Consider the following 22,550-nt stretch of genomic DNA (forward strand, 5'->3'; position numbering starts at 1 on the left):
TTTGACCCAAACCAAACAACATTACAGAGGACAGATTTTCTTCCACCCAGGCCAGGACTCTGTCTCCAGCACCATCTAGGCCCCACCAATTTAATTTCAGTTCCAAAGGGGACCATGTTGGGCACCACCACAGCTCTTTATCCCCACATCCCTCTCAGCCCTATTGGTTTCAACCACTTCTGCCGGGCCATTTCAGCTCCTGCCTGATTAGGGCAAACTTTCAGGAGCCTTGTTCTGACCAGTGGGAGCACCAGGGCTCTCAAGAAGGCTGACAGAGGTGGAGATCCCCCAGGGTAGAAATACTCACGGAGTCTCTCACAAGTTCTATGACTAAGATAGGCAAGATTACTCAAGTAAACTTGAGAGCCTTGAGGTTTTTGAAGCAATGCAGAAACCAGTATTTCAAATAATTCTTTCTAATTACTGCCACCCACAGTGAAGACATCAAGAGAAGCCTTTACTTTGATAATTCTAGGAGGTGAAATCTCACCCCAGGAACCACTTTTATCTTCCACCAAACACCTGCAGGCTGTAAAAGCAATGCAGGGAGAGAGCAGAGTGAATGTGTGTTTGGGAGCAGGGGTGGTGGAGGGAAGGTGGATAGGCCTCTAGAAGGGCTGTGAGTATGGAAATTTCATTCCTCAATTATCTGAAGCAGGAGAGTCTGCAGAATTAGGATATAAAGGAGTGCAGCTGGAGGAGAGTCAGAAGGAATTTCAAGCCATGATACAGGTTCCTGGCTCTTCCTTCCCAGGTTGGGCAAACCTCAGTGAGGTGAGGTGCAGCGGGGTCTGGCTTGGCTCAGACCATGGCTCTTCATGTTCTTATCTCCACTAGAACCTGTGGGAATAGGCTTGTTGGCTAGGCAGGGGCTGCCCCTGCTTCTGTTCAGTCTCCAAGGGATATTAGTTGAACTAGGGAAAATGGCTAGAGGCTGGGAGGAGAGGGAGTGAATGGTGAGCATGGAGGGTGGGGCTGTGGGTGAGGTGGGGGAAGGGGCTGGGAATCTGTATGGTAGGTATGGGAGCAGAGTCCTGGGCTGATGCTCAGGCGTGGCACTGCCAGCAGCTAGGCCTATGGGTCTAGAAAGGCTGATTAGGATAAGGGACTGAAGTACTCCCAGGTCCTTTTAGGTGAGGGATACTTTCAGGACTGGGTTGGGTCAGCCAGTCAGAAAGTAGCCTTCCTAGGAGCTTTACATTGGACAGCTGCTGCCCCACCGATACATCTTGGCACACAAGAGTTAGGCCACTGTATCTGTCCTGTCCCACACACTTGCTCCAGATGATCTTTACCACATGACACATGAACATACACTGTGTACACCTGGAGCCCACCTGACATGGAGCTTTGGACTGCTCCACAAGTCTCCAGCATGCCTTTGGAAGCCCTTCTTTATTGGGAAATAAATACAGAGTTAAACAGGTGGGCCGGCCAACATCTGTGGCTTTGGAGGCCAAAAGGAAGGAGTCTGACTTGCTCAGAACTCAGATCTCCATGAGCTGGTCATTCCCCACGATCACCTCATTCACTCGTTTAGCTACAAAAGAAAAGGAAAAAAGTTTTCTGAGAACTGGCAGCAAGATGACATTTCAAACCCAACTGCTTTTTTTTTTTGGAGACCGAGTTTCGCTCTTGTCACCCAGGCTGGAGTGCAGTGGCACAATCTCGGCTTACTGCAACCTCCATCTCCCAGGTTCATGCGATTCTCCTGCCTCAGCCTCCTGAGTAGCTGGGATTACAGGCGCCCGCCACCACGCCTGGCTAACTTTTGTATTTTTAGTAGAGATGGGGTTTCACCGTGTTGGCCAGGCTGGTCTCGAACTCCTAACCTCAGGTGATCTGCCAGCCTCAGCCTCCCAAAGTGCTGGGATTACAGGTATGAGCCACCACGCCCAGCCAAACCCAACTGCTTCTAATTCTGTGTTCACAAAAATTTATTTCTCTACTATTGTGGCTGTGATCTTGAGAAGCTCTTGGAAATAGGGATATGAGAGAGAGAGCACCTTCCTATGCAGGAGGATGGGACCAACTGTCTATATACCTGGCTGTGGTGAGGCTTTAAATAGGAGAACTGAAACTGGGTCTTAAAGGGTGAATAGTTTCTACAGGCAGTGATGGAAGGGATTCTAGGCTGTTAGAACAGCAAGGGCAAAGACAGTGAGATGGGAGAAAGGGGACCATGAAATACTGTGGTGTGGCCAGAGAATAGGAAATGAGGGGATAAGGGTAAGAAATGAGGCTAAAAGGATAAACGGAGATAAGAAAGGGCAATACCTCATATATAATATGGAAATAATGACACCTACTGCATAGGGTTGTTGTGAGAATTCAATGAGTTAAAGGTAAGTGAATGCTCAATAAGTTGTGGCTATTATTATTTCTATAAAGGTCAAACCCATAAGGCCCTCCATGACATCTTTGCCTACCTCTCCAGCTTCATTTCCCACTATTCTCCATTTTGCCAGTAAGCCATACTGTTTTAATCCCTTTTTTTTTTTTTGAGATGGAGTCTTGCTTTGTCACCCAGGCTGGAGTGCAGTGGCGCAATCTTGGCTCACTGCAACCTCCGCCTCCTGGGTTCAAGTGATTCTCCCGCCTCAGCCTCCCCAGTAGCTGGGACTACAGGCATATGACGCCACACATGGCTAATTTTTTTTTTTTTTTTTTTTGTATTTTTAGTAGAGATGGGGTTTCACCATGTTGGCCAGGCTGGTCTGGAACTCCTGGGCTCAAGTGATCTGCCCTGCCTTGGCCTCCCAAAGTGCTGGATTACAGGCGTGAGCCACCGCACTTGGCCCTGTTTTATACCTTTGAACTTTGGCACAACCCTCTGCCTAGAATGCTTCCCCCTCCATTTTTTCCTGTTGCACTCTTACTACCCTATGTGCCCTAACGTAGCACCTCTAATATGCGATGCCTTCCCTTTTGCACTGTCCATTTCCTGCTTTGTGAAACCACTGTACCTAATATATATCTCTATTCCTACATCATTATACCACTCTCCTCTACTTCACTATAAGAACATTGAGGGCGCTGGGCGCGGTGGCTCATGCCTCTAATCCCAGCAGTTTGGGAGGCCAAAGCAGGTGGATCACCTGAGGTCGGGAGTTCAAGACCAGCCTGGCCAACATGATGGAACCCCATCTCTACTAAAAATACAAAATTAGCCAGGCATGGTGGCGCATGCCTGTAATCCCAGCTACTCGGGAGGCTGAGGCAGCAGAATTGCTTGAACCCAAGAGGTGGAGGTTGCAGTGAGCCGAGATCGCAGCATTACACTCCAGCCTGGGCAACAAGAGTGAAACTCTGTCTCAAAAAAAAAAAAAAAAACAAACCAAGAACATTGAGAGGAGAGATGGAACAGTGTAGTTATGATTATATCCCCAGTGTCTAGCATAGCTACTGCCACATGATGATTTTAGAGGTTTTGGGTAATGACTAAGATAGGATATGGTCATATAACTGGAGAGCTAAAGCTGAATGCAGATGAAGGTTGGTAGAGAAGTTCAGGGAATCATGAAGCCGGAGAGCTGGACAGTTTACTGATGAATATGTTTAAGTTGTCCAAGATGTTATGGACAAGTGAGGGAGAGGAGAGGAAGACTGTGAACCACAGGCTAAAGCTCTTAATAAATGTAGGGAAGTACCCTGGAAGCTGATCAATGATGCGGTGAAAGGTAAGAAGAGCTATAGAAAACTTTCAAGGAAAAAGAACTATAGAAAGGAGGCAGTGAGCCAATAGCCTGGAAGGGGCAGGGGGAGCCAGGGAACAGAGACTATATCTGGCATGTTGGGGTTGATGTATTTTCATGGTGATTCAGTAAGTTGGAGGAAACCTGTAGAGGCACAACAAGCAGAACTAGGCCGGGCGTGGTGGCTCGCTCCTGCAATCCAGCACTTCGGGAGGCCAAGGTGGGTGGATTGCCCCAGCCCAGGAGTTTGAGACCAGCCTGGGCAATAGTTAGACACCATCTCTACAAAAAATAAAAATATTAGCTGGATGTGGTGGCATATGCCTGTGGTCTCAGCTACTCAGGGGCCAGGGAGGGAGGTCGCTTGAGCCCGGGAGGTCAAGGCTACAGTGAGCTGTGACTGTGCCACCTACACTTCAGCCTGGGTGACAGAGTAAGACCCTGTCTCAAAAAAACAAAAAACTAAGCAAAGCTAGTGATGCTTGGTCAGGGATGGGAGTAGGGTCCAGTAAATACACTGGAAAATCTTTGGGCTGGAATCAGGTTGGGAAAGATCCCAAGGGGAAAAATACAAGGGAGGATGATAAGTTGGGAAAATAGCAATGGGATAGAAGGGAAAAACATCACAAATAAAAGGTGCACTGTTGGGAAACTGGGAAAGCTTCCTGCTGGCCAGGAGGATTTGACCTGTGTCAAGTATACATCAACAGCCTGACCTATACCAGGTCTACTTTCATGGTCAAAGAACTGATCACTCTGGCCATAGGGAAGAGATCCAAGTTCTGTCACTGACTGTAAGAAGAGACTCAGATGAAGCATGCTTTTAGCAGTTAGTGTTTTTTTTTTTTGTTTTTTTTTTTTCTGAATGGAGTCTTGCTCTGTTGCCCAGGCTGGAGTGCAGTGGTATGATCTCTGCTCACTGCAACCTCCGCCTCCCAGGTTCAAGTGATTCTCCTGCCTCAGCCTCCCAAGTAGCTGGGATTACAGGTGTGTGCCATCACACACAGCTAATTTTTGTATTTTTAGTAGAGATGAGGTTTCACCATGTTGGCTGGGCTGGTCTCGAACTCTTGACCTCAAGTGATCCACTCGCCTTGGTCTCCCAAAGTGCTGGGATTACAGGCGTGAGCTACAGCCTCTGTACCCAGCCATTTTTTAGGTTTTGACTGTTAGCTGTAGCCATTCTACTGCTTGAGAAGGTCAAATTTGGCTGCCAGTATTTTTGCCAGAGATAACCAATGAGAGTATTGGGATGGGGTGAGAAAAGTCAGAGTTGTTATAAAATGGCTTGTTTTCGTGTTGGTGCTAGAAGAGGGTAGGGAGGCCTACACTGAGTTACGAGCCATACTTTTGGGGAAAAAGACTGCTATGGATGTGGTGACTCTGGAGCATGAAAATGATTAGAATTTGGAGAGGAGACTGCATTATGTCTTTTTTTTTTTTTTTGAGATGGAGTTTCGCTCTTGTTGCCCAAGATGGAGTGTGATGGCGTGATCTCAGCTCACCACAACCTCTGCCTTCCAGGTTCAGGCAATTCTTCTGCCTCAGCCTTCCAAGTAGCTGGGATTACAGGCATGCACTACCACGCCCGGCTAATTTTTTGTATTTTTAGTAGAGATGGGGTTTCTCCATGTTGGTCAGGCTGGTCTCGAACTCTTGACCACAGGGATCCACCCGCCTCAGCCTCCCAAAGTGCTGGGATTACAGGCATGAGCCACCGCATCCGGCTGAGACTGCATTATTTCTTAGGATGAATGTTTTTTCCTGAAACCCCTTCATGTGAGGAAGACTGACGGAAGACTTTGCCATCTATTGAGCTCTTTGCTGGTAAGGATGTGAGTTGTTGGTGTTTGCCTAGGTCACCTATAGTAACAAGTCTTGAGTGCTGCACTGATGGTTAGGAGTTTGCTTTCACCATACGGCTCAGTCTCAAAAAAAAAAAAAAAAGAAGAAGTAATAGTGGAAAAAGGCAACTGGCCAGGGAGTTCCTGTGGCAGGAGGGCACTGACCACTGTGCTGGATGCACTGGTCCTTCCAGCAGAGGACAGAGAGAAGGAAGTGGTGGGGTTGTCCAGTTTAGAGCCCAGACAAGATGACTTCCCTGGCCAGCCCTCCTTCAGCAGGACCATTAAAGGGTCTCCTTGCTAAAAGGTGGACACATAGTGTTAATTAAAGCCAGAAAGCCCAGGAGTTTATGAAGCCCATCTCATGATGATTGCAACCATCGCACAGAGGCCTTTCTTGGAACCCTAACTTTATACCCTGAAATCCCCCAAAATATGTTTCATGGATCCAACATTCATTCATTCACTCTTTTCCCCTTCTGAGCATTTACCATAAATCAGGACCTGTTCTGAGAGCTAGGGATGCATATAGTTATGAGACAATCGACCTTGAGGATCTTTTTTTTTTTTTTGAGATGGAGTCTTGCTCTGTCACCCAGACTGGAGTGTAGTGGTGCAGTCTCAGCTCACTGCAGCCTCCGCCTCCTGGGTTCCAGCAATTCTCCTGCCTCAACCTCCCAGGTAGCTGGGATTACAGGCATGCACTACCACACTTGGCTATTTTTTGTATTTTTAGTAGAGACGGGGTTTCACCATGTTGGTCAGGCTGGTTTCGAACTCCTGACCTCAGGTGATCCGCCCACTTCGGCCTCCCAAAGTGCTAGGATTACAGGTGTGAGCCATCATGCCCAGCTGACCTTGAGGATCTTAGTAGGGAAGGCTGATTCACGGATAATTGCCATGGCTTGTGAAACATACTTTAATAAAGGTGTGGCAAAGCTCAAGGACACAGTGGAAGGAATGTGTAGTTCTGCTATGGGGAGTCATGGGAAGAGGCAGAGAAGGTTCTACAAAGGAGAAAACACTTGGTCGGAGTCTTCAAGAGAGGAAATCTAGAGAGAGCACATGTAAAAGCATGGAGAGGTATAATGGCACGGTATGTATGAGGAATTCTAAGTCTTTTGGTACACTCAAGGAGTAGTGCATATACCTGTCATTTAATTATATGTAATTCTCACAATTCTCCAAGGTAGCTATTATTGTCCCAATTGTCTAATTAAGAAAATCTGGGGCTGGGCGCAGTGGCTCATACCTGTAATCTCAGCACTTTGGGAAAGTGAGGTGGGTGGCTTGCTTGAGGCCAGGAGTTCAAGACCAGCCTGGGTGACATTGCAAAACCCTGTCTCTACTAAAAACACAAAAATTAGCCAAGGGTGGTGGTGTGCCCCTGTAGTCTCAGCTGCCCGGGAGGCTGAGGCACAAGAACCACCTGGATCCAGGAGGAGGAGGCTGCAGTGAGCTGAGATAGCACTACTGTACTCCAGCCTAGGCGACAGAGCAAGACTCTGTCTCAAAAAATTAAAATTAAAAAAAAAAAAAAAAAAAAGGAAAATCTGAGGGCTTAATGATTAAAAATTTCACTTGGTGCACAGCCACTAAGTTGAGTTGAGATGTGAACTGAGGTCTGTTTGATTCTAAAGCCCAAAAGGAAGGCATATGACTTTAAAAAAGGGAAGGGGGAAGAAACTGAAGAAGGAAATGATGTGGCGTCTACAGAGTTGGTGGGGTTAATTCCTTCAGCAACTCCCCTCCCCACCTTATTTTAGGTTTAGGAATAATACCAAAAGCAATCAGTCATTTTAATTTTTATTATTATTTTTAAGACAGGGTCTCCCTCTGTCACCCAGGCTAGAGTGCAGTGGTGCGATCTCAGCTCACTGCAGCCTTGACCTCTCAGGCTCAAGCAATCCTCCTGCCTCAGCCTCTTGAGTAGCTGGGACAACACGTGTGTGCCACTGTGCCTGGCTAATTTTTAATTTTTTTGTAGAGATGGGTTCCTGCTATGTTGTCTAGGCTCAAGCGATCCTCACATTTCAGCCTCCCAAAGTGTTGGGATTATTGGCATGAACCACTGTGCCTAGGCTTCAAGAATCACTGTACAGTATTGGTGCCAACCTGGGCCATTAGATCTATTGATATGTTTTCAAGGTTTTGAGATTAAGGGTGCATACATGTATAAGCTTATCTATAAGATTAATTTCTAGAAATGAAACTGTTAAGTCAAAGTAAAAAAATTTGACAGTGATGCCAGGTGCGGTGGCTTACGCCTGTAATCCCAGCACTTTGGGAGGCTGAGGTGGGCAGTTCTCCTGAGGTCGGGAGTTCGCAACCAGCCTGACCAACATGGAGAAACGCCATCTCTACTAAAAATACAAAAAATTAGCTGGGCGTGGTGGCACATGCCTGTAATTCCAGCGACTCAGGAGACTGAGGCAGAAGAATCGCTTGAACCCGGGAGGCGGAGGTTTCAGTGAGCTGAGATTGCACCATTGCACACCAGCCTGGGCAACAAGAGTGAAACTCCGAAAAAAAAAAAAAAATTGACAGTGATGTCAACTGCTCTCCAAAGATGGCTTTATCAATTTATGTTCTCGCCCGCAGTGTACGTATGTGCTTGTTTCCCACATCCTCACCAGCCTTTGGCATTATCAGTGCTGGTGTGAGAAGTAAAAATGGAATCTGTGATTGTAATCTGGTTTACCTTTGGCTTCAATCCTCTGGCCACTTCCAATCAAGCAGTCCTTGATGTCTGCACCCTTCTCGATCACAGCATTGTTGCAGATGACACTGCCTTGGATATTGCTTCTGTAACACAGTAGCCAAGTTAGGGAGGACCCAAGGCTCGCATCACCATCCTCATTACTATTGGTTGGGGGTTCTGGCTCCTCCCTAGGCCAGGAACAGCTGGGCAGTCCAGTTAATGGCTACGTGCCTCAAGTTATCAGTGGAAGACAGAATGGTAAGCCAAGGGAGGACCTGGCTTCAGAGAAATCCAGATTTGGGACTATGCTCATAACGATCTTTCTCTAAGGCCTGAAAAGAAGATATTCTGACTTCACTTCAGTTCCTTTTTTTTTTTTTTTTTTTGAGACAGGGTCTCACTGTGGCCCTGGGGCTGGAGTGCAGTGGTGTGATCATAGCTCACTGCAGCCTCTAAAACTCCTGGGTTCAAGTGATCCTCCCACCTCAACCTGTAGCTGGGACTACAGGTGAACACCACCATGTCTGGCTAATTACTTCAGTTCTTTAGGATCCCAGAACCTAGAGGTCTAAATTCCATCCAATCTGTTCTTTGGTCTGGGGCTGGTCCTTAGGCTGACCCATCACTGCTGCTTCTCATCTGGGAATATATACCAAATTTCATTTGAGGCTCAGAAATCACAAATCCTCCTAGGACATCAACTCTGGAAACAATGGGCTCCCCACACTCTCACCACAGACTCTGGTTAAGCAAAGCCATACTCATTCAAAAAAATTTTTTTTTCTTTGAGATAGGGTCTCGGATTACCCAGGCTGGAGTGTAGTGGCACGATCTTGGCTCACTACAGCCTCCACCTCCTGGGTTCAAGCAATTCTCCTGCCTCAGCCTCCCAAGTAGCTGGGACTACAGAGCCACTACACCTGGCTAATTTTTGTATTTTTAGTACAGATAGGGTTTCACCATGTTGGCCAGGATGGTCTTGAACTCCTGGCCTCAAGTGATCCACCCGCCTTGGCTTCCCAATGTGCTGGGACTACAGGAGTGAGCCACCGCACCTGGCCTAAACAATTTTTTCAGAGATAAGGTATCATTATGTTGCCCAGGCTGGCTTCAAATTTGAGCTCAAGCAATTCTCCTGCTTCAGCCTCCCAAGTCTCTGGGACTACAGGTGTCCATCACTATGCCTGGCTAAAAAGGATTTTTTAAAAGCCAACTCCATTCCACATAAAAGACTACTCCAGACCCTAAAGCATACACCAAGAGCAGCGCCACTTGCTCACAGCATTTAAATGTATTTAAAAAGCATTCTCCTAGGCCACGTGTGGTGGCTCACCCCTGTAATACCAGCACTTTGGGAGGCCGAGGTGGAAGGATCACTTGGGCCCAGGAGTTTAAGACCAGCTTGGGCAGCATTGTGAGACTCTTTATCTCTACACAAAATAAAAAAGCTAGCTGTGCATGGTGGTGCATGCCTGTAGTACCAGTTATTCAGGAGGCTGAGGTAGGAGGATCGCTTAAGCAAAGGAGGTAGAGGCTGCAGTGAACTGTGATCGCACCACCGCACTCTAGCCTGGGCAATAGAGGGAGATCTTGTCATAAACGGAGCATCTTCTTGGCTCTTAAAGACTGCCAGGTTGGAGGAAATGTCCTTTTGAAAATTACGACTAACCTGGCTGGGTGCGGTGGCTCATGCCTGTAATCCTGGTACTTTGGGAGGCCAAGGCAGGTGGATCACCTGAGGTCAGGAGTTTGAGGCCAGCCATGGCCAACATGGTGAAACCCCGCCTCTATTAAAAATATAAAAATTAGCCAAGCATGGCGGTGCGCACCTGTGATCCCAGCTACTCAGCAGGCTGAGGCAGGAGAATCAATTGAACCTGGGAGGCGGAGGTTGCAGTGAGCCAAGATTGCACCATTGCACTCTAGCCTGGGCGACAAGAGCAAAACTCTATCTCCAAAAAAAAAGAAAAGAAAAGAAAAAAGAAATTTATGACTAACCTTTATTGTACATCTACTCTATGCCAGGTATTGTGCTAAATAAATACTCTCTGTACATTATAGGACTGACTTTTACAAAGAGTCTCGCTCTGTCACTCAGGCTGGAGTGCAATGGCGTGATCTCAGTTCACTGCAACCTCTGTCTCCCGGGTTCAAGCAATTCTCCTGCCTCAGCCCCCCAAGTAGCTGGGATTACAGGTGCCTGCCACCACACCTGGCTCATTTTTTGTATTTTTAGTAGAGGCAGGGTTTCGTCATGTTGGCCAGGCTGGTCTCCAACTCCTGACCTCAGGTGATCCAGCCTTCTTTTTTTTTTTTGAGATGGAGTCTTGCTCTGTCCCCCAGACTGGAGTGCGGTGGCGTGATCTGCCTCAAGTAAACCTCTGCCTGCCTCAGCCTCCCAAAGTGTTGGGATTACAGGCATGACCACCGCTCCTGGCCACAAATCTAGTAATTTCTTTTTTTTGAGACAAGGTCTCACTTTGTCACCCAGGCTGGAGTGCAGTGGCGTGATCTTGACTCACTGCAGCCTCCATCTCTGGGGCTCAAGTGATCCTCCTGCTTCAGCCCCCCAAGTAGCTGAGACTATAGGCATGCGCCATCATGCCTGGCTAACAAATCTAGTAATTTCATCTGAAAATCACCTGAGTAGTGTAAACAATGACAAATAATGCCACCCTCAGTGTCCTGGCCCCCCATCAATTATTTTGGTAGGTCTCGGATAGGAGCTAAATGTATTTAACTAGAAGCAAACCCCTCCTAGATGATTCTGGGAGTACTATTTTTATCTCTGATGCACTAAAAAAGAGCAACCACATTTTGCAGATGAGGTAACAGATTTAGAGAAGTTAAACCATTCACTCAAAACCATATAACTGCTAGTAACAGATTTAAATCTAGGTCTGCCTGACTTCAGAATCCATAATTTAATCATAATGCAATACAAAGAAATTAAGAAAAGACTAGAAGAGACCTAGAACTGCCTTATTCTGAGCTGATATGGCTCAGTGGAAGAAGCTCTTTCCTAACAAGGGGATATTCAGTACCCGAGTCAGAAATGGGAAGAGAAAAAATGGGCAGCTGGAAGGGAGAAGGAGGAGGATAGAGAGGGTGTAAGCACCCTTTTAACAAAACAAAACTAAGGAAAAATTCCCAACCCAAGAGGCATGAGGGGGTGGGAAAGAGGACATTCCAAGGACTAAAAACACTGATACACAGACCATTAAAAAAGATTCTTCCCAAATGCCAAAACTTAGTAAAATGCAAAAAGAAATACTAGCACTTTAAGGCATTTCAGAGTCTTCTTTATCTCTGTTCTCCTAGGAGGTTAAAGCCTTTTGGAAAGTAGCAAAAGGCCAAAACCACAGCACCTCTGTGGTGTAGGCTAGAGATGGGCAGAGACAGCACTAGTTTGCCCTTTGGCAGACTTGGGATACACTCAGTGGGTGGGCTTTTAAGAGAGCTTCCATAACTTTCCAACTTGCCTAACTTGCAAAGCAGTCCAGTAAGCAGTTAGGGTCAGTTAGGGTGGTTCCTGCTTTTTGGGGGAAATTCCTCCAAAAGGGGTAATAGGGAAGTATAGAAAGCTTTAGATACAGAGGCTCCTGGGACAGAGCTGCCTTTCAGTTGGCTACTAGTTTATAATGGAAAAGTCTTATTTCTTTTTCCAAGGTGGTAGTAGGGGTATGCTTCCTACTCAGTCGTAAGAGCCAAAGAATGTATGCTCTGAAGCTAGGCAAGAGGTAAACATAGTCAGCAGACAAGAAACAGCCAACAGGAACTCAAGCAGCCATAATTAGAGACAATTAAATGTCTATTTTGGAATCTGGGATATAAGTGGGAGAGATTTCTGGAAGGAAGAGACAAGAATAACTGAGGTCAGATTTCCATAGCAATAAACAGCCTGGTTTTCCTTAGGCTTAGTGGATCTGATTGGGGTCTTCAGGAACCTCCCACATTGTCTGTCTCATCCAGTTGATGTGTAGCTCTTTCTGAGACACATAAACCACTGCTGTGGAGCCTGCGGATATGATAGGGAAAGTGGGGTGACGGATGGAAAGCTGTGGGCTCTCCTGAGGCTCCTGGTAAGTGGATCTGTGGAAGGCTTTGAGATGAATACCTGAAAACAGCTTACTGGTTGTGAAGCTCTTTTCTGACCATTTGTATCCTCAATTGTTCCCCAGTATTATTGTGCAGCCCAAATCACCTCCAATAGCAAGGCTGAGGTACTTTGGAAAAATTTCAACCCAACACAGCTTTTCCCCATCCAAGAAGAAACTCCAGGATCAAGGACTTTACTGGGAGTGTATCTGTTCATGCTACAGGGAATGGAAAGATAGGACCTTATCAAACAAACCCTCTCTAGGTTGCCAATTGGCAGCAAGGACTCTGTCTTTTCTGTTTAGTGCCTAAGGAGAGAGAAGAGGTGAGTTCCTATAGTCCAACAAAAGAGCTTGTTCCAGACTAGAATTACAGCTTCTGCATCCTAGTTTTAACTCTCAGGTTGGCACGAAGCACTCCGCTGTGCTAATGTCTAGCTGTGTTCTCTAAGACGCTGCTCAGTGATGGCTAAGACTAATGGAGACTTGGTCCTCATTTCTCCTTGGTAGGTTCAAATTTCAAGCACAGAGGCAGGCTTTGCAAAATTACTCTGAAAACTGTAACGTTTCAGTGGAAAGGAGGCCATGAGAAAAACAGAGTACTACAGTAAGATCACTGCTTGGCCAGGCACACCACACTATACTATGTTGTGGCATATCACCTGAGGAAGAAGGCTAACTGAGAAGCAAGAGTGCCTCCAAATTCTTGCTCCTCTTCTGGCTTTAGGTAGGACTTCTTTCAGTTATTTCAAGGGAGGAAAGGGAACTCACATATATCTAATGTCTAATACATCTCAGTCATTATATAAAGCACTTTACACTCATTTATTATTATTATTTTTTGAGATGGAGTCTCACACTGTCGCCCGGACTGGAGTGCAGTGGCGCGATCTCGGCTCACTGTCTCCTGCCTCAGCCTCCCAAGTAGCTGGAATTACAGGCATCTGCCATCATGCCCGGCTAATTTTTTGTATTTTTAGTAGAGATGGGGTTTCATTATGTTGACCAGGCTGGTCTCGAATGCCTGACCTCATGATCTACCCGCCTCAGCCTCCCAAAGTGTTGGGATTACAGGCGTGAGCCACTGCACCCAGCCTACACTCATTTTATAACTGAATCCTTTCAGCAAACTTGCAGGGATGGTGGTATTTATTCCAATTTTTACAGAGAAAATTGAGACTCACAGATGTTAGGCAATGTGCACAGGCCTAAAGTGACACTCCACTGTATCACGGGCTCCTGCTTCAGATATTGACTTAGAGAATATTCGGCAAAGAGCCATGAAACTTCTCAGTAACTGAGGATGGGGAGGTTCTTTTCTTTTTTGATGAGTTGACAGGCTTTCTAAACTACTCATGACCCTGGGGGAAGAAAAGAGAATGAAACTGAAGATATGTGTAGCTTTTCTAGGCATGTGACTAAGGTCTGCTCTAGGCCAACTCAACACTTTGGCCGAAAGATTATGGCTGAGTCACCCATAATCTCTCTAGGTACTGGGAGCCTCCTAACCTAAGCCCTTCTAAGCTGGTCCAAGTATCTCTCTAGAGAAAGAATCATGTGTTATTTTTATTAAAAGTTATTTTTTATTATTTATAATTTAAAACAATTCTTTTTGGTAGAGATGGAATTTTGCTATGTTGCCCAGGCTGGTCTCAAACTCCTGGCCTCAAGTGATCCTTCTGTCTCAGCCTTCAAAGTGTTGGGATTACATGTGTGAGCCACTGCATCTGGCAACCATGTATTATTTTTAATGAAATATTTTAAGTATAGAAAAAAACCTAGAGAATAATATAAAGAACGCCTGTGTATCCACCAAACAGCTTGAGAAACAAACAATCCAACTTGCTAAGCATCTTTCTTTCATCCCATTTCCTTCCTTCTTCCACCAGGGTATCCATTATTGGACTGTGGTGTTTCTTGTTCCTAAGTATTTTTACTACATTTATTAAACATACAATATTTTTAATGTTTTAGAATTGTACATACATGTTACCGTTCTGTGTATCCTTCTGCAACTTGCTTTCCCCTCTTCAACATCATATTTGTGATTTATCCAGGTTAATTCAGGTAATGATATATATAATACTTGAAGAAATGATCTTACCTTTTCCCTGTTTCTGGTCACTCTTGCTCTTGGGTCCTCTAGATTAAAAGGTACTGACTCCAGTGAGCAGGCTGAAAATTTCCTCCTTTTAGTTCTGTATGCCCCCCTTCACTATATAAGATTTTGTGGTGAGAAATGGCTCCCTCCTAAGAAATCTAAGTCCTTGTATTCCCTAAGCAGAGGCTAGGGAGTTTAGGGGAAATCAAAGCAAAGATGTAACAGCCTTAAAGAGTTAAGCTGCAGAATTCTTCATCTAAGATGGGTTTAGTGCAAATGGTTCAAAGGTAGGGAATGAACCAAAAGCCATTAGGAGCCCCTTTAATCCAGGGGATCTTCCCAAAGTGTCATAATTTGGTGTTTTTAAGAGTATGACAGAAGTGCTGGGCTCGGTGGCTCATGCCTGTAATCCCAGCATTTTGGGAGGCTGAGGCGGGTGGATCACCTGTGGTCAGGAGTTCAAGACCAGCCTGGCCAACATAGCAAACCCCGTCTACTAAAAATACAAAAATTAGCCTGGCGTGATGGTGTGTGCCTGTAGTCCCAGCTACTCGGAAGGCTGAGGTGGGAGGATAGCTTGAACCCAGGAGGCAGAGGTTGCAATGAGCCAAGATCATGCCACTGCACTCCAGCCTGGGTGACACAGCGAGACTCTGCCTCCAAAAAGAATTCTTTTAACAATTATGTACTTTTCTGCAACTCTAATTACCTCTAATTGGACTTATATTTAAGAGGATTCACTTTTATACCTTAAACTATCCATTTTCATTTCTTCCTTGGCTATATTATGTCTTCAGGTAGAGTTTTCCAGAGGGTTCATGGGTGACACAGGTCCTGAGCCCTGGAATACTTCTGATGCTTTTACATAGCAACCATAACTGGCTATAGGATTCTTTTGTGTTTTCTTTCCTTGTAGGGATGAAATATGGGAGGTTATAAGATTCTTAGGTCACAAATGTTTCCCTTCTAAATTCTCTAAATGTTGTTTCACTGTCTTCTGGCCTGAAATGTTATCATAGAAAAGTCTGAAGCCAGGCTGGGCGTGGCGGCTTACACCTGTAATCCCAGCACTTTGGGAGGCCAAGGCAGGGGGATCACTTGAGGTCAAGAGTTCAAGACCAGCCTGATCCAACATGGTGAAACCCTGTCTCTACTAAAAATACAAAAATTAGCTGGGTGTGGTGGCGCACGCCTATAATCCCAGCTACTTGGGAGGCTGAGGCAGGAGAATTGCTTGAACCTGGGAGGTGGAGGTTGCAGTGAGCTGAAATTGTCACTGCACTCCAGCCTGGGCAACAGAGCGAGACTCCATCTTAAAAAAAAAAAAAGAAATGTGTGAAGCCAGCCTGATTTTCTCCCTTCTATGTGGCCTGATGTTTTTCTTTCAGTTCTGCATGCCTTGGTATTTTGAAAAAAGGATGTTTGATGTCTTTTCTTTGGTTCACCCATGTTCCCATTCCTTCTTCTCTTTATGTTGAATCTTGGTGTTCTCTTTGGATTTAATCTAAATTTCACTGTATCTGGCAGATATTCTGTAGTCTGTGCATAGGTATGAGTAGGTTATTTCATTTTATTATAGATAAAGCTTCCTTCTGTGGTTTTGTTTTTTCAATTTGGTGAGCTTTAAGGAATGAAGCACTCATCCACAAATTTTCTTCTGTATTTGTAACATTGGTACCAACTTTTTTTTTTTTTCCAAGATGGAGTTTTGCTCTTGTTGCTCAGGCTGGAGTGCAATGGCGCGAACTGGGCTCACTGCAACCTCCACCTTCCGGGGTTCAAGTGATTCTCCTGCCTCAGCCAACCAAGTAGCTGGGATTACAGGCATGCGCCACCACGCCCGAGTAATTTTGTATGGGGTTTCTCCATGTTGGTCAGGCTGGTCTCGAACTCCTGACTCAGGTGATCTACCCGCCTCAGCTTCCCAAAATGCTGAGATTACAGGCATGAGCCACTGAGCCTGGCCATCATTGGTACCAACTTTTAAAATTTTTATTTATTTATTTTTTTCTCCCTCTCTATAATCATGTACAATATTTTTTTCTAGAAGCAGAGAGGGATCTCTTAACAGATATTTAGCCAGTTATAGTAGAGGGGTTAAATCAGAGATCTCCATTTTTCATTTAGTAAATGCTTATAAGATATCTACTACGTAAAAAGTGCAGTATTAAGAAGTTAGGGGATATAAAGACATATAAAAATATTTCTATATTTAGCCAGGCATGGTGGCTCACGCCTGTAATCTCAGCACTTTGGGAGGCTGGAGGTGGGCGGCTAATGAGGTCAGGAATTTGAGACCAGCCTGGCCAGCATGGAGAAACCCCATCTCTACTAAAAATACAAACAATTAGCTGGGCATGGTAGCACGTGCCCGTAGTCCCAGCTACTCGGGAGGCTGAGGCTGGAGAACTGCTTAAACCTGGCAGGTGGAGGTTGCAGTTAGCTGAGATTGTGCCATTGCACTCCAGCCGGGGTGACAGAATGAGATTCTGTCTCAAAAAAAAAAAAACAAACAAAACTATATTGAAGGCATTTATAGTCTAGTTGAAGAGGGAAGAAAGATGCAGTAAGTGCCACAGTACCATGTGAGCATGAATAAAGTGTTATGGGTGCATAGGGAGCACAGAGGTGGGGAAAATAGTTTATGGCTATGACAATTTTTTTTTTTTTTTAGATGGAGTCTCGCTCTGTCATCCAGTCCGGAGTCCAATAGTGCAACCTCGGCTCACTGCAACCTCTGCCTCCCCGGTTTAAGCGATTCTCCTGCCTCAGCCTCCTGAGTAGCTAGAATTACAGGCACACACCACCACGCCCAGCTAATTTTTGTATTTTTAGTAGAGACGGGGTTTCACCATGTTGGCCAGGATGGTCTCAAACTCCTGACCTCAGGTGATTGGCCCGCCTTGGCCTCCCAAAGTGTTGGGATTACAGGCGTAAGCCACCATGCCTGGCCGGCTATGACATCTTAAGAAAGCTGCATGGAAGAGTTGGAATATGCATTGGATCTTGCAAGATGGGTAGGATTTTTACAGGAAAGAGCTCCAAAGAGAGGCAATTCAGGCAGAGTGAATGTTAGAAATAAAGGGAAGTAGGAATGTAAGGAACCCAGTGGGCAGGGCAGTCAGTCAGTTGAGTGCAGGTGAAGGGTACACTCAGGGTAATGATGAGAAGTAGTAATTTCTTACCTGGCTCTGAGGTCTACACTTGCTAACTGCAAAAAGCATGGAAAACCTAGGTGAGAACCTGGCTTTCTAGCCTGTCAGCATGTGAAGATGCTACTCTAGACTGCTGCTTGGGTCATGTGCCTTGGATTAGGGGGAAATGCAGGAGAGGTTGCTTGGGACCAGGGGACCAAACATGCAGAATACAGGGCTGACACTCAAGCTTTGACAATGAAGTGTTTACTACATTGTGGATTCCTGAGCATCAGCTGTCATATAAAATGCCAGAACATGAGAAAGATGGGCAGGAGCTTTCTCTGAATAGTCTCGCCTACACCTTCTCCAAGGTGGTCCTATTAGCATCCCTCAAGCCCTGAAGACCTTGGGCAGGTGTCCAGAAAGCCTCAGCAAGCTTTCAAGCCTCAGCAGCCCACCACTGCTGGCAGAGACAAGCACATAACGAATATGAGAAACTCCCTTCTGAACAATTTTATGCTCCTACCCTGCCACTTAGCCAAGACATAATAGCAGCAGGGTAATCAAGTCTCACTTGACTGCAATTTAATTACCTTTCCCAGGTTTGCCGTAAGTAATTAAAATTAAGTGACCCCAAAATAATGGGAAAAAGTTCATATGGGATGTAGGATGTCTGATCTTATCAGCAGGAACTCATTCGCAGGATTGGGTAATTGCTAATGGCCTTCCCAGTCATTAGCCTTGTGTGGGCTGTCTATAGCTTTACCTCAACTTTTTTATTTTTAAAAAAAGAAGTAGCCAGCCTAGGCAACACAGAGATTCTGTCTCTAAAAAAAAAAAAAAAAAAAAAAATTTGCCGTGTAGTGGCACACGCCCATAGTCCCAGCTACTTGGGAGGCTGAAGTGGGAAAATCACTTGAGCCCAGGAGGTTGAGGCTGCAGTAAGTCATGATTGCGCCACTGCACTCTAGCCTGGGTGACAGAATGAAAACTTGTCTCCTCCAAGACGGCAAATGACTATGAGATATGCTAGGCCTTTTCTCTGAACTTCTTTTCTCACATAGAAAGCTGTAGTGTTGGCCGGGCGCAATGGCTCAAGCCTGTAATCCCAGTACTTTGGGAGGCCGAGGCGAGCGGATCACAAGATCAGGAAATCGAGACCATCCTGGCTAATATGGTGAAACCCCGTCTCTACTAAAAATACAAAAAATTAGCTGGGCGTGGTGGCGGGCACCTGTAGTCCCAGCTACTCAGGAGGCTGAGGCAGGAGAATGGTGTGAACCCGGGAGGCGGAGCTTGCAGTGAGCTGAGATTGCGCCACTGTACTCCAACCTGGGTGACAGAATGAGACTCCGTCTCAAAAAAAAAAAAAAAAAAAAAAAAGAAAGCTGTAGTGTCTTAGGGAGCCATGGTTTCCTCGCCAAGTCTCTTCATATCAATTAGGACACTAACACTGGATTTTTTTTTTTTTTTTGAGACAGGATTTTGCCATGTTACCCAGACTGTCTTGAACTCCTGAGCTCAGGCAATCTGCCCACCTCAGCCTCCCAAAGTGCTGGGATTACAGGTTGCAGGTGTGACCCACTGTGTCCGGCCCTGCCCACCCACAGAAGGGCAGGGAAAGGTTGCTAATTAGAGCATATGGGGAAAATTATGCCATTGTCTTCCTTGGAAGGTCTGAGAGAAGGGAAGCTACAAAGCTCATGAGTTACCTGGAACCAGGTGATCAAATGGATGAAGGCAAGTGTAGTTCTGGTTTAAGAGAATGGTGATGTCTGTCAGTCTTATCCAGGAGTCTGGAAGAGGACATGGCGTAGCAGGGGTGCAACAAGAAAAATGTCTGGAATGCTACATTTATTCATCTATAAAAATTCAGGAGTTCAGCTGGATGACTTCTAAGGCCTCATCTCACACTAGCATTCCAGACTCAGTGCTGGAGCCAGACCATGAGGAATCATGAAGTTCCAATTTCTTCTAAAGGTAAGAGGGAGCTTTCAAAAGGTTTTTAATAGAACAAGGATGTGATCAGAGATATTCTTTAGAAAGACAATGTTGGCAACATGCCATCCTTGTGAAATGGGATAAAGTAGTAATATAATAACAACAACAATAATAAATAAATAAAAATAGCAACTAACTATCCTAAATGCTTTATATGGCCGGGCATGGTGGCTCATGCCTGTAATCCCAGCACTTTGGGAGGCTGAGACAGGCAGATCACTTGAGGTCAGGAGTTCGTAACTAACCTGGCCAACATGGTGAAACCCTGTCTCTACTAAAAACACAAAAACTACCAGGGTGTGGGGGTGCGCACCTATAATCCCAACTACTCGGGAGTTTGAGGCAGGAGAATCGCTTGAACTTGGGAGGCGGAGGTTGCAGCGAGCTGAGATCACGCCATTGCACTCCAGCCTTGGTGACAGAGTGAGACTATCTCGGAAAAAAAAAAAAGCTTTATATTTACTAACTAATTTAGTACTCCCAATAAACCTACAAGGTAGTTCAGTTTTACCCCCATTTTATAATGAGAAAATCAGGCACAAAGAGGTAAGGCCTTTTTTTTTTTTTTTTTTTTTTTTTGAGATGGAGTCTCGCTCTGTCACCCAGGCTGGAGTGCAGTGGTGTGATTTCAGCTCACTGCAATCTCTGCCTGCCGGGTTCAAGCGATTCTTCTGCCTCAGCCTCCTGAATATCTGGGACTATAGGCGCGAGCCACCACGCCTGGCTAATTTGGCCAATTCTTTAAGAGACTAATTAAAGTGACAGACCTAGGATTCAGTTTGGCAGTCTGACTCAAAGCTCATGTTCTAATTCATAAGAACAATGGGGGAAGGGTAAATATAGAAGACGAAGAATGATGAAGACAGGAAAAATAAGTTGGAGAACACCACAATATGGTGGTGTAGTGGCTCATGCCTGTAATCTCAGCACTTTAGGAGGCACTCAGGAATTCAAGCCTGGGTAACATAGTGAGACCTCGTCTCTACTAAAAATATAGTGGCACATGCCTGTGGTCCCAGCTACTCAGGAGGCTGAGGTGAGCGGATCACCTAAGCCCAGGGTGTTGAGGCTGCGGTGAGCCATGATAACATCACTGCACTCCAGCCCAGGGGACAAAGAGAGACCCCGTCTCAAAAAAGAGAGAGAGAGAGAGAGAGAGAGAGAGAGAGAATATCACACGAATGATTTGGGAAAGAGACAAAGACTTTATCTCTGGGTCTGACCTCTTTTCCTAAGCTCTAACCACAAACTGAATACCAGACATCTCCACATACTTGATGCCCTACAGGCACTTCCTACCTCTTGTGCCCTACACAGACCTTGTCTCCCACAAATCTGTCCCTCCTTCCTCATCTCAGTGAGTGCACCACCATCCACTCTTTCCGTAACTGGAAACCTGGGCTTCACCTGTCAACTCTCCTCTCCCTTACCCCACATGTCCCCTTCTTGCTCATTCCTTGTCAGTCTCCTTAGATTCCTTTTCTTATGTCTAAAATTGCTTGCTGTTAGTTCCCAATCCCCAAGGTTTTGTTTGGTTTCTTTTCTTTTCATGTCACACACTCTCCTTGGGTGATTTCATCTACTCTACTCCCAAGGCTTCAGTTATCAGTTCTCAGGTTTTTTTTTTTTTTGAGAAAGAGTCTCACTCTGTCACCCAGGCTGGAGTGCAGTGGTGCAATCTTGGCTCACTGCAACCTCTGCCTCCAGGGTTCAAGTGACCTTCCTGCCTTAGCCTCCCGAGTAGCTGGTATTACAGGTGTGTGCCACCACGCCCAGCTAATTTTTGTATTTTTGGTAGAGATGGGGTTTCGCCATGTTGCCCAGGCTGGTCTCGAACTCCTGGGCTCATCTGCCCACCTCAGCCTCCCAAAGTGCTGGGACTACAGGCATGAGCCACCACACCCAGCCTTCAGTTACCACTTCTGTGCCTGCCACTTCCAAATTCGTACTTCAAGCACAGCTTCTTTCCTAAGCTCCAGCCCTGTAGATCAAGGCCTCCTGTACGTCACCATGCATTCAACTTGTCCCAGATGGAATTTATACTCTTCCCATCTCCCAGCCTGCCAATCTTGCTCTTCCTCTACTAATTTCTATCTTGAATAGCACACCAGAAATCTCATTGCTCAAGCAACAAATCTGTTTTTTTCCTTAATTTCTCTTTGACCTCATATATCTAGGCAGACACATGTTTTATAGTTTTTAATCACCTTATTGTCTGTCTTCTCCATCTCTACTGCTATTTATTGCCTTAGTTTAGGACCTCTTCTATTTTACCAGAATTATTTCAATGGCCTTCCTGCCTCCATGTTTACCCTGTTCAGGCCAACCTTCCTAATGTAGCCCAAATAATCTTCCTGAAATGCTAATTTAATCATGCTGCTCTTTTGCTTTAAGCTCTTAAATTACCATTACCTATCAAACGCCTCAGGGAACAATCCATTACTTGGCCCTTGTCCATCTGCATGTATAGCCTTGTCTCTTGTATCCATCCCTCTCTGATTTATATTCTGGTCATGGTGAATTGTTTGTCATTCTTTCATATAACAAATATTTATTGAGTTCCTGTAGGCCCTCAGGATATAAAAGTGAACAAGAGAGATAAGGCACTTACATTCTGAAACTAATGTTTTACTTGTGAGAGACAAGTAAAGATAAGACTAAATAGTGATGGTGTTATGAGGGAAATGAAACAGGTTGATGTGATGGTGGTTAGTGGGACAGATTATTTCCAATAGGGTAGTTGGGGAAGGTTCCTCTGAAGAGGTGACATTTGAGCTAAGATCAAAATAGGGAGATGTTTCTGGAATAAGATATGCTCTTTCATACTTCACAATCTTTTTTTTTTTTTTTTTTTTGAGATAGGGTCTCACTCTGTCACCTAGGCTGGAGTGCAGTGGCATGATCATTGCTTGCTGCAACCTCCACTTCCTGGGCTCAGTTGATCCTCCCACCTCAGGGGTTACAGGTGCACACC

The 22,550-nt window shown here is 45.5% G+C and overlaps 1 protein-coding gene across 5 annotated transcripts in view; it reads right to left on the reverse strand.

The window, feature by feature from the left end:
- The window catches only part of EIF2B3 (eukaryotic translation initiation factor 2B subunit gamma), a 136,074-nt gene continuing 114,582 nt past the window's right edge, over positions 1,059-22,550 (reverse strand). For 3 of the 5 annotated variants that reach the window (XM_047433499.1, NM_020365.5, XM_047433501.1), the window contains 2 exons: positions 8,241-8,344; positions 1,059-1,540 (listed from right to left, as the gene is read on the reverse strand). In XM_047433499.1, coding sequence (XP_047289455.1) covers positions 1,488-1,540; positions 8,241-8,344 — 157 coding nt within the window. In that variant the 3' untranslated portion in view covers positions 1,059-1,487. The remainder of the gene's footprint in view (positions 1,541-8,240; positions 8,345-22,550) is intronic. The other 2 variants (XM_047433500.1, NM_001261418.2) reach the window with 1 other exon arrangement.

This window comes from Homo sapiens, chromosome 1, assembly GCF_000001405.40.
Source record: "Homo sapiens chromosome 1, GRCh38.p14 Primary Assembly".
In the NCBI taxonomy this organism is placed as follows: Eukaryota; Metazoa; Chordata; class Mammalia; order Primates; family Hominidae; genus Homo; species Homo sapiens.